This window comes from Homo sapiens, chromosome 16 (genome assembly GCF_000001405.40).
Source record: "Homo sapiens chromosome 16, GRCh38.p14 Primary Assembly".
In the NCBI taxonomy this organism is placed as follows: domain Eukaryota; kingdom Metazoa; phylum Chordata; class Mammalia; order Primates; family Hominidae; genus Homo; species Homo sapiens.
Window position 1 is genome coordinate 70,570,898 of NC_000016.10, and position 15,331 is coordinate 70,586,228.

General features: G+C 49.5%; 2 protein-coding genes across 4 annotated transcripts in view, besides 3 other annotated features; both read left to right on the top strand.

Moving 5' to 3' along the window:
• The window catches only part of SF3B3 (splicing factor 3b subunit 3), a 53,853-nt gene extending 47,082 nt beyond the window's left edge, over nucleotides 1-6,771 (top strand). The window contains exons 25-26 of the mRNA NM_012426.5: nucleotides 198-302; nucleotides 776-6,771. Coding sequence (NP_036558.3) covers nucleotides 198-302; nucleotides 776-916 — 246 coding nt within the window. The 3' untranslated portion in view covers nucleotides 917-6,771. The remainder of the gene's footprint in view (nucleotides 1-197; nucleotides 303-775) is intronic.
• Nucleotides 4,775-4,844: an enhancer, noted in NCBI's record as "active region_11067". NCBI's record gives its function as "activates an Ori minimal core promoter by ATAC-STARR-seq in GM12878 lymphoblastoid cells {active_cell/tissue: GM12878}" and the evidence as "EXISTENCE:reporter gene assay evidence [ECO:0000049][PMID:35858748]".
• Nucleotides 8,505-9,010: an enhancer, noted in NCBI's record as "H3K4me1 hESC enhancer chr16:70613305-70613810 (GRCh37/hg19 assembly coordinates)". NCBI's record gives its function as "activates a minimal SCP1, AML or CMV promoter by ChIP-STARR-seq in primed H9 embryonic stem cells {active_cell/tissue: H9 hESC(primed)}" and the evidence as "EXISTENCE:reporter gene assay evidence [ECO:0000049][PMID:30033119]".
• The window catches only part of IL34 (interleukin 34), an 80,784-nt gene continuing 74,454 nt past the window's right edge, over nucleotides 9,002-15,331 (top strand). For all 3 annotated transcript variants that reach the window (XM_047433649.1, NM_152456.3, NM_001172771.2), the window contains exon 1: nucleotides 9,002-9,152. The gene's annotated coding sequence lies outside the window, so the exon portion shown is untranslated. The remainder of the gene's footprint in view (nucleotides 9,153-15,331) is intronic.
• Nucleotides 9,011-9,516: an enhancer, noted in NCBI's record as "H3K4me1 hESC enhancer chr16:70613811-70614316 (GRCh37/hg19 assembly coordinates)". NCBI's record gives its function as "activates a minimal SCP1, AML or CMV promoter by ChIP-STARR-seq in primed H9 embryonic stem cells {active_cell/tissue: H9 hESC(primed)}" and the evidence as "EXISTENCE:reporter gene assay evidence [ECO:0000049][PMID:30033119]".

Consider the following 15,331-nt stretch of genomic DNA (forward strand, 5'->3'; position numbering starts at 1 on the left):
CAGACAACATGTGGTCTCCTTTTGGGGTTTAACTATCGTGTTGTAGCAGAAAAACCTGTGATTATCAGAAAGTGATTAGATATTTCCCGTGTGTTTGTGTAGTAAAAATGAATGGCTTGTCTGTTCGTTGTGCTTGTGGAAACTCTAGACTAGTTGAAATCACTTCTCAGTGACAGATTTTTTGTTTCTTCTGCCAGGACCATGACTTCTTCCAGCATGTGGAAATGCACCTGCGGTCTGAACATCCCCCTCTCTGTGGGCGGGACCACCTCAGCTTTCGCTCCTACTACTTCCCTGTGAAGGTAGGTTGGGGGAATCTGAGCTGAAAAGGGAGATCTGAGAAAGGAGCAGCACAGGGAGTGGATTGATGGGAATAGTACCAGGGAGGGTGCTCCCCTCAGGGCAGACCACAGCCAGAGCAAAGGCTTCACCTGCTTCTGCCAATCTGAACTCTGAGTACCAAGAGTCAACTTAAGATAGTGTTCCTGGATCTACAAGTGGGGTTCAAGTATCGAGTGGAGAATAAAAAGTTTTCCCGGTCTGGGCGTGGTGGCACACATTTGTGGTCCCAGCCAATCGGGAGGCTGAGCCCCAGATTTTGAGAGTGCAGTGAGCTAAGATTATCCCACTGCACTGCAACCCGGATGATAGGGTGAGACCCTGTCTCAAAAACTAAAAAATAAAAACAGCTTTCCCTACAAGTGCTGCTTTAGCATGTGCCATTTTCTTTGGGCATCTCACCATTTTTTTTCTTTCTGCTTTCTCCATATCTTAGAATGTGATTGATGGAGACCTCTGTGAGCAGTTCAATTCCATGGAACCCAACAAACAAAAGAACGTCTCTGAAGAACTGGACCGAACCCCACCCGAAGTGTCCAAGAAACTCGAGGATATCCGGACCCGCTACGCCTTCTGAGCCCTCCTTTCCCGGTGGGGCTTGCCAGAGACTGTGTGTTTTGTTTCCCCCACCACCATCACTGCCACCTGGCTTCTGCCATGTGGCAGGAGGGTGACTGGATAATTAAGACTGCATTATGAAAGTCAACAGCTCTTTCCCCTCAGCTCTTCTCCTGGAATGACTGGCTTCCCCTCAAATTGGCACTGAGATTTGCTACACTTCTCCCCACCTGGTACATGATACATGACCCCAGGTTCCAGTGTAGAACCTGAGTCCCCCATTCCCCAAAGCCATCCCTGCATTGATATGTCTTGACTCTCCTGTCTACTTTTGCACACACCCTTAATTTTTAATTGGTTTTCTTGTAAATACAGTTTTGTACAATGTTATCTCTGTGGGAGGAAGGAGGCAGGCTGTGGTGGGACTGGGTAGGGTATAGTATCACTCCTGAGTTCCACTGCTCTAGAATCTAACCAGAAATAGAAACCTAGTTTTTAAGGTGACTGGCATCCATGTGTCTTGTTCTGGAGATGAGGATGTAGGTGGGAGGTTTGAACCCAAGTTAGAGCAGGAAGAACTGAGTAGACTCCTTCCTTCCAGATACCGACTTGGACTTGCGGCACTCTGTGGCTCCCCACCCCCAGGTCTGTGGTGGTTTCTTTGTTTTTTCCTGGTTCTTTTTGCTGTGCTGATGAAACATGACCTCAATAACCATGTGTATACCCACCCCTCTTCCCACTGGGTATTGAGGAAGGGTGGCTGATTCTTCCTCCTCTTCTACTCTGAGGATGTTAGTATGGGGATTTTAGCATGAATTCTAGCTGGGGAGTCTTAACAGATGCCCCTTTTACTGATACAGCACCTAAAGCGATCTTTGGCTCCATAGGACCATAGGAAGGGTCAGTACAGAAGAACCTAGATACTGCCCTGCCCCTGAGAACTGTGTATATGTGGGGCCTGTCTGCAGCACCCATCTCAGGTGGGTTCCAGAGGGCCTTTAGGGTATAATGAGAGCCTGTTAGGTGGAAGAGGCCCAGTTCCAGAAATGTTCCAGCCCACCCCTGAGAATTCCTCCTGTTTAGTTGTGTGGGAAGCCCTCGTCTTCCAGGCTGTCCTTGCGCCTTGAACCTGGAGAAGTGAGCTCACTGTTCTCAATACTTCACAAATGTAAAACTTTCTTTCGTCTGCATGTGCTCAGCCATCTAAATTGAGCAAATGATCTGGTGAGCACTGGGTTAGAATCAGGAATGGTGGAATACAATCTGAACCTCTCAGAGCCCAGAACAGAGGGTTCCTGACACTGTGACACTGTCTCCTGGAACTAAGTATCTCTTGAATCATGACTTGGTTTTAGATCAGTCAAGAGAGACCCAGGTTTTGCCAGGAATCGAATCCCTAAATAACATGTTTTTTTCTCACTTAGCTCATGAATTTGCATAGTAGACAGTAGTTCTGAATTAGATTTTGAAAACCTAATTTCAGGGCTCATTTTTTCCTGTGGCCCTAAATCCATTCTATCAAATTGTGTGATACTGACATGCAGTCATCTGAGGAACTCAGCGTAGATACTTGAGCAGCTCCTCGCCTCTTTTCTAACTCAAGTTTGACTAAAATACATACACTCCGTACAGAAGGTAGGGGGTTATGTAAGAAAGGAAAACCTAATCTATGGAATCAGGAGTTGTCACCACCGAGCTTCCTCTGGAAGTCTGCCCATCAGCTTGCTTGTTCTCTGTTAAGAGGAAGGGCTAGGACAAGGATTTGGGCTTGAATATGTGGAAAGGAATTTTCATAGTTGTTGCTGCAGGACCTACAAAAGTTTAAAATTAGATTGGATGTGACTCAATGACAAGTCCCATCTGTGTAATTGTTAAGGGGACCTGATTGACTCCTGTGGTTTGATTGAGCAACCAGGTAAATAGAGACCTCTCTCCAGCTTTGGCAAAACCCATCAGAGGCTGCTGCAGAACTCAGACAGAGGGATCTGCCCTTGGGTTTGCTTCCATCCTGTTCCATTGCTAAGCCCTTGTGACTTGGATCCTAGGACTGAAAAGTTTTTAGCTGCCTCAGCTTTCCCCTGACCTTACTGGCAGAGGTTCTGCAGATGTTTCCTTTGGAAGATCTCTTGCCAAGAATAGCATTCCTTTGGAGGAGGGGGGTTCTAGTTGGAATGTTGCTTTTCTTGGTTAGTGTAAATGTATTGCTAGTGAGACAGCTGCCGGCGCTGGAAAAGGCTCGTCTCACAGGGAGAGTGCTGGTCCCCAGAATGTGTGCTGTTCCCACGCTGCTGCCTTTCTTGAGCTTGTTAGAGGAAAGCCAGAAAGGCATTCAGATGGGATCAGTCTGGCTTTCAAATTTTTTTTAATTCCTAAGTTCTGTTTTATTTTTTAATTTTTTAAAAAAAATTTTATTAGAGACAGTCTCTCTCTCTTGCCTAGCTGGGAGTGCAGTGGAGTGATCATAGCTCACTGAGGCTTGAACTCCTGGGCTCGAGCAATCCACCTCAGCCTCCAGAGTAGGGGAGACTACAGATGTGTGCCACCATACTCAGCTAATTTTTAAACTTTTGTAGAGACAGGGTCTCCCTGTGTTGCCCAGGCTGGCCTCGAACTCCTGACCTCAAAAAATCTTCCTGCCTTGGCCTCCCAAAGCACTGGGATTATAGGTGTGAGCCATTGCGCCTGGTCATAAATTCTTGTTTTTTTGTTTGTTTGTTTATTAGAGATGGAATCTCTCTCTCTTGACCAGGCTAGAGGGCTGTGGTGCGATCTCAGCCCACTGCAACCTCTATCTCCTGAGCTCAAGCGATCCTCCTTAGCTTCCCAAATAGCTGGAACTACAGGCATGTGCCATCACGTCCAGCTAATTTTTGTATTTTTAGTAGAGAAGGTTTTACCATGTTGGACAGGGTGGTCTCGAACTCCTGGCCTAAAGTGGTCCACCTAGCTCAGCCTACCAAAGTGCTGTGATTACAGGCGTGAGCCACCATGCCCAGCCTCTAAATTCTGTTTTCTATTCAAAGTAAAAATGACATGTGTTTGAGTCATCCACTTGCTCATTTGCATATGGAATATTGTATGTGAATATTTTATTACACCCTTAAAATTAATTTTCAAGGGCTATATGTAGAGCTCAGAAGAAACATCTCTGCTGCTGAAATCAAACCTGGTCCAAAAAACGTCACAACGGAGGAAAGGAATAGATGGCTCTCGAGGACAAGATAGGGACTCTTAAAACACCTGCTTGGCCATGGTTGATTGACATTTGAGTGATCTGGTAGCCCAACACACCCTGTGAAGTTCAGGTGAACTGAAATGGGCAGGTGTAGGCTACACACCAGTCTGAACCAGCACAACCAAGAGTTGTTTCTCTTTTTTTTCTTTTTCTTTTTCTTTTTTTTCTTTTTTTTTTTTTTTTTTTTGAGATGAAGTCTTACTCTGTTGCCCAGGCTAGAGTACAGAGGCACAATCTCGGCTCACCACAGCCTCCGCCTCCTGGGTTCAAGCAATTCTCCTGCCTCAGCCTCCCAAGTAGCTGGGACTACAGGCATGCACCACCATGCCTGGCTAATTTTTGTATTTTTAGTAGAGATGGGGTTTCACCATGTTGGCCAGGCTGGTTTCGAACTCGTGACCTCAGGTGATCCACCCACCTTGGTCTCCCAAAGCGCTGGGATTACAGGCGTGAGCCACTGCACTTGGCCAGGAGCTGTTTAAGCCATCAGGAGACATGCTGACCCACTAGAAGAGGCTGCTACGCTCATTTCTTCCACAAACGTTTACTGGGCACCTACCATGAACCACCACCTCCCAGCTCTGTTCTGCACCCAGAGGTTGGAGGAGAGTTTATAACCAGGCAGTCTCTGTCGCTGTGAGGTTGGTGGTGAGGTGAGTCTGCCAGAGGGCCTGCCACCAGTTTCAGAAGAGCCTGCAGCCTGCATCTGATTTCCTCAGCCACAACCTTGGGACTTCAGGAAAAATCAGAAGGTCCCAAGTCTGAAAAATGAAGAGGTGGGGAGTGGGCAGCAGGGGTTTTAGGTCAGGAAATGGTAGGAAACCTGTAGTTGTGGCTCATAATCCTAGTGGGATATTAGAACCCTCTTCATTTGTCAGAACAGATTCCTGGGGTCTGCTCCCAATTATTCACACGGTGGTTCATGCCTGGTAATCCCAGCACTTTGGGCGGCCAGAGGCAGGCAGATTGCTTGAGCCCAGAAGTTTAAGACCAGCCTAGGAAACAGACCCCATCTCTACAAAAAATTCAAAAAGCCGGGCGTGAAGCCCTGTTTTTTTTTTTTTAAAAAAAGAGTCTGCTGGTGATGTCTGGGCATGTGTCTGCTTCACAGTCCAGTGTTATGATCAGTAGCTGTGATGGACAATGAACATTGCTGCTTGTTCAAAATGAAGAAAAAAAATATCAAAGAAAACCAGGTTTGGAAGTTTCAGATTTGGAAAAGGAGCTGGGCCAGCCCATCTGGAATAGCTGAGGGGCCCTGTTAGCCCCACCCTACCCCACCCCACCCCCGTATGCAGCATCTCTGGCGGTGCCCAGAGGCAAGCCCCCTTCAGTTTCCCACCTCTCACTCTGCCTTCCAGAGCCTAGTCAAGTTTTAAATTCCCAGGTCCACTCAGCAGAACTTGCTCCCTTCTCTGACTGCAGTCTCATAATGAAAGGAGAGGTGCTTTCAGTTGGGTCATTTGGTAGCGTTTAGGCTTAGAAGTTACTAATTTGGAGCCGTGAGTATATGTGTATAAGCTAGTAACACGTGATGGTCAAGGGAAGTACTACCATTTCCTGTGGGTTATTAGGGCCTCCAGCTGTTATGAGGACACACTGGGGAATCTCAGCTTTAGGGAGTCGATGATGTAACTGGAGAAAGGCAATGCTGCCCTCATAAAGCAATCAGAAACGAGATTCCACCTGCCAAATGCCAAGAGGCAGCAAAGTCCATGAAGAGAGCACTGTATACAGTCAGATGACCTGGGCTCACTAGCCTCTAAGCATAGTCTTGGTTTCCTGCCTGTAAATTGGTAGAATAAGACTGATTTACTGGGCCTGGCATGGTGGCTCACACCTGTAATCCCAGCACTTTGAGAGGCTGAGGCAGGAGGATCCCTTGAGCCCAGGAGTTTGAGACCAGCCTGGGCAACATGACAAAACCCCATCTCTCCAAAAATACAAAAATTAGCCAGGCATGGTGGTGCACACTTGTAGTCCCAGTAATTAGGGGGCTGAGACAGGAGGATCACTTCAGCCTATGAGTTTGAGGCTGCAGTGAGCTGTGATTGCGCCACTACACTCCAGCCTGGATGACAGGACGAAACCTGTCTCAAAAACACCAAAAAACAAAAACCGGTCTCCTGGGGTCATGGTAGCACAAACGCACATGACTGAGTGCTCAGGGGTTCTGAGGCTTGTCCGCTGACCTGGGGCTCTGGCCCTGGGAGATCTGGGGGACCTGCTGTCCTATATGTGATGCTTTGAAAGAAAGGGGCATCATTCCAAGCCAAGAGGCCCCAGAGAGGGCACCGTGCGGTGTTCAGGCTTCTGTGAGGCCCCAGTGAGATCCTGTGGCTGTGCCCCCATCACCTCCACCCACTCTGCCCTCCCACTAGCTGCCCAACGGATGAATCAACGCCTTGGCAGAGTTTTCCAGCAGGGCCTTGCAGAGAGTGTGTGTGACCTGTGTGGCCACTGCCTTGGGGACGGGTGAGGAGTTAGCCTGGAACATTCCAGCGTGGGCATTATTGTCCTGTTGCAAGTTCAGGGCAAAACCAGGAATCCAGTTTTGTCGATCCAATTGAGAAAACATTTCATGAACAACTACTTGTGGCATGCATTGGCACTCGGAATAAAGCGCACTATTGTCACTAGGTTGGCATTTCTTTTTCTTCTTTTTTTTGTTTTTTTATTTTTGAGACCGAGTCTCACTCTGTCGCTCAGGGTGGAGTGCAGTGATCTTGGTTCACTGCAACCTCTGCCTGCTGGGTTCAAGCAATTCTCCTGCCTCAGCCTCCCGAGTAGCTGGGATTACAGGCGCCTGCCACCACGCCCGGCTAATTTTTGTATTTTTAGTAGAGATGGGGTTTCACCATGTTGGCCAGGCTGGTCTCGAACTCCTGATCTCAGGTGATCCGCCTGCCTTGGCCTCCCAAAGTGCTGGGATTACAGGCGTGAGCCACCGCATCCAGCAAGGTCAGCACTCCAGACTAGGTTGGCTGTGGAAGACTGGGTGTTAATAAGGGGTTCCTAAATCCAGGATTCTGTGCTCACATTCAGTGAAACACTACAGACTCCCCTCTTGGATAGTTTGAGGCTTTGAACACAGCCGTTCTCCTATCCTCCCCCACTGGCCCATCCCTAATGAATCCAAATGCAGTCTAGTAAAATCAGGAAGCCTGCTATGAAAACTTGACAGAGATATTGAAGATGCCCCTGCAGTTGCCCACTCTGACCCAGGTGAAGGGAGAATGGCTGTACCTTTGGTGATGGTGCTGAGGGAAAGGACCTCAACTCCCGTAAGTGCTGGGTCTGAGGCCACGTGTTACACCAGGACAGGTCCTGTGTCCCTCAGGAAAACCTGGCTTTGGGGTCAGACCTCAGTAACCAGCTGGGGAATCTTAGGTAAGATTCTCTCTCTCTCTCTCTCAATCTCTCTTTTTTTTTTTTTTTTTCTAAGAAAAGAGACAGGGTCTTGCTCTGTCATCCAGGCTGGAGTGCAGTGGCTTGGTCATAGCTTAGTGCAGCCTCGACCTCCAGGGCTCAAGTGATCCTCCTGCCTCAGCCTCCCGAGTAGTTATAACTACAGGCATGAGCTACCATGATGCCTGGCTAATTTTTAATTATTTATTTATTTGCAGAGATGGGGGTCTTTCTATGTTGCGCAGGCTGGTCTCTAACTCCTGGGCTCAAGCCCCAGAAAAGGGGTGAGGAATCTTACCCAAGGCCAGGCACAGTGGCTCAAGCCTGAAATCCCAGCACTTTGGGAGGCTAAGGCAGGAGGATTCCTTGAGGCCAGCAGTTTGAGACCGGCCTGGGCAACATAGGGAGACGTCTGTATCTACAAAAAAATAAATAAATAAATAAATAAATAATTAGCTGGGTGTAGTGGTCCCAGCTACTTGGGAGGCTGAGGTGGGAGGATCGATTGAGCCCAGGAGGTCAAGACCACAGTGGGTTGTGATTGTGCCACTGCTCTCTAGCCTGGGCAATAGAGTGAGACATTGTCTAGAAAAAAGGCAAGGCATGCCGGGTCATGCCTGTAATCCCAGCACTTGGGAGGCTGACATGGGCGGATCACCTGAGGTCAGGAGTTCAAGACCAGCCTGGCCAACATGGTGAAACCCCATCTCTACTAAAAATGCAAAATTAGCTGGGCATGGTGGAGCGTGCCTGTAGTCCCTGCTGTGAAACTCCGTCTCAAAAAATAATTAAAATTAAAAAAAAGATTATTCACCTTTTGGAGCTCATGTCTCTTCATCTGTAGACTGGGTAACTCATTGGTGCTCAACAGGGATGATGTATCAGAGAAAGGCCTTTTCTTCCACCTAATGGACCCCCAGTCCCACACACACACACAAACACACACACACACTCCAGTCACCACCACATCACTCAGTTTTGTGTTTTGTTTCGTTTTTTTAGAGACAGGATCTCGCTATATTGCCCAGGCTGGAGCACAGTGGTTATTCACAGGTGCAGTTGCAGCTCACTGCAGCCTCGAACTCTTGGCCTCAAGAGAGTCTCCTGCCTCAGCCCCCTGAGGCTCATGTCACTACACACTACACCCAACTCCCCATCACCTGGCTTTTAGTTTTATGAGACGAAGCTTTTGTCTAGGCCGAGTGTTCTGGAGAGGAGCTGGGGTAGTCCCTTAGAACAGTCCAAGCTGCCTGGGAGCCAGGGCCTGGGTTTGGGGGACTTCTTGTAGTCAACTGGCTGGCGCCCTCAGTCAGAGCAGTCCCCTGGCGGGTCCTCTGGGTTGAAGACTCCCTCCTACTTCACAGTCCAAGGCAGGCGGGGGCCACGTGGCCCTGCCCCGCCCCTGCTGGCTTCGGTTCCTGAGCAGAGCTGCAGTGGCCTGCTTTCCCCGCCCTTCTCATCAGACGGGAAGCCTGGACTGTGGGTTGGGGGCAGCCTCAGCCTCTCCAACCTGGCACCCACTGCCCGTGGCCCTTAGGCACCTGCTTGGGGTCCTGGAGCCCCTTAAGGCCACCAGCAAATCCTAGGAGACCGAGTCTTGGCACGTGAACAGGTAAGAAGGCAGCAGGCTTTCTCTCCTATGCCTGGCTTTCCTCTGCCTCTGACGGCCTGGCTTCCCCACCCCGATTCTGCTGCTGCTTCACTGATCCCAGGAAGAGGGACCTGAGCTAGACTTGACAAAGACAGTCCCAGCCAAGATGCTCTGAAGTATGCCTCAGAGAAGTATATCTCAGCAGAACTGTCTGCTCTGGGTTTCAATTTTTAACCTTTGCCTTCATCAGCCTTGCAGGAAAAAGCCGATCCACATAACCATAAAGCAAGTCACTTCTCTGTGTGTGCCCTTCAGAGTTTAGTCAATTGACAAACCTACATTCTCAAATGGTTGGCATGGGCCGTGGGGCGCTGCTCCACTATATATTGCCGTAGGTCTTTGGACCTTAATGTACTGTGTGTGTGGATTATCACTTGCATGTATTACTTTATCAAAAATTAATTGACTTGGCCAGGCGCAGTGGCTCACGCCTGTAATCTGTAATCCCAGCACTCTGGGAGGCGAGCGGATCACTTGAGGTCAGGAGTTTGAGACCAGCCTGGCCAACAAGATGAAACCCTGTCTCTACTAAAAATACAAAAGTTAGCCGGGTGTGGTGGTACATGCCTGTAATCCCAGCTACTTGGGAGGCTGAGGCAGGAGACACACTTGAAACCAGGAGGTGGAGGTTGCAGTGAGCCGAGATCACACCACTGCACTCCAGCCTGGGTAACAGAGTGAGACTATGTCTCAAAAAAAAAAAAAAAATTAATTGATTTTAAGTTCTTTAAAGGAAAGAGGCAAAAAAGTCAACAGCATAGGTAAGTCTTTCTCATGCAGGTGGGATTTCTGAAATTAAAATGAAGTGTTCTGCTTTTAAACTTTGCATTTTTTTTTTTTTGAGATGGAGTCTTGCTGTGTCGACCAGGCTGGAGTGCAGTGGCGTCATCTCAGGTCACTGCATCCTCTGCCTCCTGGGTTCAAGCGATTCTCCTGCCTCAGCCTCCTGAGTAGCTGGGATTACAGGCACCCGCTACCACACCTGGCTAATTTTTGTATTTTTAGTAGAGACGGGCTTTCACCATGTTGGCCAGGCTGGTCTCGAGCTCCTGACCTCAAGTGATCCACCCACCTCGGCCTCCCAAAGTGCTGGGATTACAGGCGTGAGCCACCACGCCCGGCCAACTTTGCACTTACTTTTAAATGCACATAAACCAACTAACTAGATGTTGTTTTAAGGTCCACGTGGTATTCACCAAGTTAACAGACCCATCCCTGGACGGGCAGCCTCTGTCCGCTGATGAAGTTGAGTTGCTTCTAGGTGTTTTGCAATGAATAATTCGACTTTTCTGGACAACTCTGTGGAAATAACTTTTTTTTTTTTTTTGGTATTTGAAGTTATTGTTTTTTCCCCCCTTTTCCTTGGAGTGTATTCTGCATCCAGAATGAATACTCTGGGCCAAGGGCAAGAACATTTTTGAAGCTCAGCTCACGGTATGTGTGGGGTCAGCTCACTCATGAGAATTACGGGACTAATTTACTAATTTCCAGGGCCATGGTGGCAGAATGGGCTGGGCAGGGGATTTGAGATCTCTGGGATTTCTCAGGAAGGGGACAGAGACAGTCTAACGCAGTGGTTAGGAGCTTGGCTTTAGAAGGCTGACTAGTCTGGGTTTGTATGCAGTAGCTGCCTGACCATGAACTTCCACCACGTAACTTCATTGTGCCTCAGTTAGTTCATGTGTAAAATAGAGGTTATAAAACTTGTTAGGGGCCGGACATGGTGGCTCATGTCTGTAAGCCTAGCACTTTGGGAGGCTGAGATGGGTGGATTGCTTGAGCCTGGGATTTCGAGACCAGCCTGGGAAACATGGTGAAACCCTGTCTCTACAAAAACAAAAAACAAAAACAAAAACAAACAAAAACTTTTTAGGGATGTTGGAAGTCAGAGATCCTGTTTGTGAAGCATCTAGCATAAGGTCTGGTGCTTAACAAGCACCCCTGGAGGCCCCCTCTTCCCCAAGCCTGGGGCTTTAACTAGCCAGGCAAAATTGATAAGGTCAAGTACATCTTCTTGGCCCAGAGCCTATTCTTACCCAGCTTCATCGTAACTAGAGTGAAAGGCTTCATTGCCTGTTTGAGGATATTTTGACTAGGCCTCTGTCTGTCCCAAGGATGGCAGGTGGAGCATCAGGCTCAGGCCTCCCTCTGGGGGACCCCCAAGCTTTCATCCCCCTCTGTTGTCACATCTGGATGCCACCATTCTTATCTGTCAGCCACCCTCCTCGACATGCAGGTTTAAGGGATCCTTGGACAGACTGGAGAGTTTCTGGAACATCTGTGGGTTCACCTGCCCAGCCCCAGCCCGCTGTCACCGGGGTAGGTTACGCACATGGCTCAGCAGAAGGAGCGTAGGCTCTGGAGCTGGTCGGGCTGGATTCCGGTCCTGGCCACACCACTTTCCACATGTGGGCAGTGACTGGACCTCTCCGACCCCCAGTTTCCTCATTTGCAGAATGGATGTGTTAATACCTGTGGCCTAGAATTACGTGAGATCACACAGATAAAGCAGTTGGCCCCAAGGAGCCCTTACCGTGGAAGTCAAGGCTGCACTCCAGAGCCTTCAGGAAGGTACTGGAATTAGCCATAAAGGACAGGCAGAAAATCCATGTGTTCATTTTCTCAGACAACAAACACTGATTGGGTTGGCCAGCCCTGGTGCTGGGAAGCAGGGAGAGACATGCACAAGATGCCTCTCTGCTGTTGACACAGGCACACTGCCCCCTGCTGCAGAAGCAGGAGAGACAATGGCCCAGTCAGCCTGGGTGCTTGGGAAATGGCTCCATGCTTAAGGATGAGGAACAATTGATTAGGCAGAGATTGGAAGGAAGCTGGCATAGCAGGCCTGGAAGCCGAGTTGAGTTTGGAGAAGGGAGAGATGTTTGGGAGACCTGCAGGGCTGGATGTAGGGAGCGGCGGAGTGGGAGATGAGATGAGGGGAGGTGGTAGGGATACGATTTTGAAGAACTTCGAAGATCAAGTGAGAATTTGGATTTGATTTCAATGACAAGGAGTTTTTTGTTGTTGTTGTTTGTCTTTTTTGAGACGGAGTCTTGCTCTGTCACCCAGGCTGAAGTGCAGTGTCCCGATTTCAGCTCACTGCAAACTCTGCCTCCTGGGTTCAAGTGATTCTCCTGCCTCAGCCTCCTGAGTAGCTGGGATTACAGGCACGCGCCACCATGCCTGGCTAACTTTTGTATTTTTAGTAGAGATGGGGCTTCTCCATGTTGCCCAGGCTGCTGACCTCAACAGATTCACCTGCCTCAGCCTTCCAAAGTGCTGGGATTACAGGCATGAGCCACCGCACCTGGCAATGATGAGATTTAAGCAGGTTTTGAGATGCCTGTTCTTGCGGCTTCGAGGGACGAAGCGAGTGTTAGCAGCTGATGTTGTTGGTGGCCTGGTATGCCTCCAGCCTTCCCCTGCATCTCAGGGGCTCTAATTGTGCTCAAAATAAATAACTGCAAAGAGAGGGGTTCTCAGGACAGGCCTGGGTCAGGGAAGCCTGGCCTGGGAGTTGGGGCCCTGGGTGCTGGGTTCTGGTCCCAGCCCCACCACCAGAGCATGTAGATCTTTCCTCCTGCCTCAGAGGAGGACTCTGTCACCCAGGCTGGAGTGCAGTGGTGTGATCTCGGCTCACTGCAACCTCTGCCTCTTGGGGTCAATGATTTTCATGCCTCAGCCTCCCCAGTAGCTGGAATTACAGGTGTGCGCCACCACGCCTGGCTAATTTTTGTATCTTTAGTAGAGATGGGGTTTCACCATGTTGGCCAGGCTGATCTCAAACTCCTGATCTCAAGCGATCCACCCACCTCGACCTCCCAAAGTGCTGGGATTACGAGCGTGAACCACCGTGCCTGGCCCAGGGCAATTAGGCTTCTTACAGCTCTTTCCTTCCAGGGTTCTGTACAATGTTTCTGGAAGCCACAGCTCCCCTTCCCCTGCCCCCAAGGCAATACTGTCCTGTGGCCTTCCCTGACCCAGCCGTAGGAGGGAGAGACATCTCGTCCCAGATGGGCAGTGTGGCACTTTGACCTTGAGAGAGACTCCATGGAAGTCTGAGAACTATGGCCTCCAGGTGTGGGACGATCCTAGGGTGGTTCTGGGCTCCAGCTGTCATGCATGCTTGCGTGTGAGGGCCACGTCTCATAAGTAAGGGGCAGTGTCCCCTGGGAACTGGGCTGCAACTGGCCTGGGAACCTGCTTCCTGAGCTTCCCAGGGGCTGCCTGGACAGCTCCGTCTGTGCATCCCAGCACGCCTGGAAAACAGCCAGGCTTTCCCCTTGGCATCCTTTCCATACTGGGGGATGTGGATGGGTCGAGACTTGCCTATAGCTAGAAAGGTTCAGGTCAAAATGATGAATTGGAAAGGCCAAAGACTTCCAATGTGGACTTCCCAGCAGCCACTGGGAAAAGTCAGCGCTCTGCTGCAGAGCTTTCTGGGGTGCTCATGCCTTTCCCAGCATGAGAAAGTCCACACTCTGGCCAGGACTCCACCACCAAGTCCCAGCTGCCCTTTGGCTTTGTCACCCAGGCATCTTCTCAATTATTCCCTTGCCTCTTTCCCAAGAGCCAGCACTTTGCTGTTTCCTTGTCTTCCTGCTTTCTCTCTCTCTCTCTTTTTTTTTTTGAGATGGAGCCTTGGTCTGTCAGCGAAGCTAGAGTCCAGTGGCATGATCCTGGCTCACTGCAACCTCTGCCTCTTTGGTTCAAGCGATTCTCCTGCCTCAGCCTCTGGAGTGGCTGGGATTACAGGCTCCTGCCACCACGCCCGGCTAATTTTTGTATTTTTAGTAGAGACAGGGTTTCACCATGTTGGCCAGGCTGGTCTTGAACTCCTGACCTCAGGCAATCTGCCCGCTTTGGTGTCTCAAAGTGCTGGGATTACAGGTGTGAGCCACTGTGCCCGGCCATCTTAATTATTTTTAAGGTTAAGAAAATCCACGTTGTACCACAGATCTCCAGAACTTTTTTCATCTTGCCAAACAGAAACTCTCTATTAAATGACTCCCCAAACTCCCCATTTCCCTACCCCCAACCTCTGGGCACCACCTTTCAGATGTCTGTCTCTATGAGTTTCACTGCTGTAAGTGCCTCATGTAAGTGGAATCATAATCATACAATATTTGTCTTTTTATGACTGGCTCATTTCACTTAGCATAATGTCCTCAAGGAGTCTTGCTCTGTCATCCAGGCTTGAGTGCAGTGGCACAAACATGGTTCACTGCAGGCTCAAGCGATCCTCCCGCCTCAGCCTCTCAGGTTGCTGAGACCACAGGCAAGTGCTACCATACCTGGCCAATTAAAAAATAATTTTTTTGAGGCTGGGCGCGGTGGCTCACGCCTGTAATCCCAGCACTTTGGGAGGCCGAGGCAGATGGATTACGAGGAGATTGAGACCATCCTGGCCAACATGATGAAACCTTGTCTCTACTAAAAATACAAAATTAGCCAGGCCTGGTGGTGCGCACCTGTAGTCCCAGCTACTCAGGAGGCTGAGGCAGGAAAATTGCTTGAATCCGGGAGGCAGATGTTGCAGTGAGCTGAGATTGTGCCACTCACTGTACTCCAGCCTAGGTGACAGAGGGAGACTCTGTCTTAAAAAAAAAAAAATTTTTTTTTTTTTAGAGACAGGGTCTCCCTATGTTGCACAGGCTCGTCTTGAACTCCTGGGCTTAAGCAGTCCTCCCACTTCAGCCTCCCAAAGTGCTGGGATTACAGGCGTGAGCCACTGCATCCAGCCTCCTTGTTTTTTTTTTTTTTGAGACCGAGTCTCACTCTGTCACCCAGGCTGGAGTGCAGTGGCGCAATCTCGGCTCACTGCAAGCTCCGCCTCCCAGGTTCACGCCATTCTCCTGCCTCAGCCTCCCAAGTAGCTGGGACTACAGGCGCCCACCACCATGCCCGGCTAATTTTTGTATTTTTAGTAGAGACAGTGTTTTACCATGTTAGCCAGGATGGTCTCGATCTCCTGACTTCGTGATCTGCCTGCTTTGGCCTCCCAAAGTGCTGGGATTACAGGCATGAGCCACCGCCCCCAGCCCTGGCCTCCTTGTTTTTAAGACTGAATGAAACCCTATTGTATGTATATACACCATATTTTGTTTATCTATTTACCTGTCAACAGATACTTGGGTTGC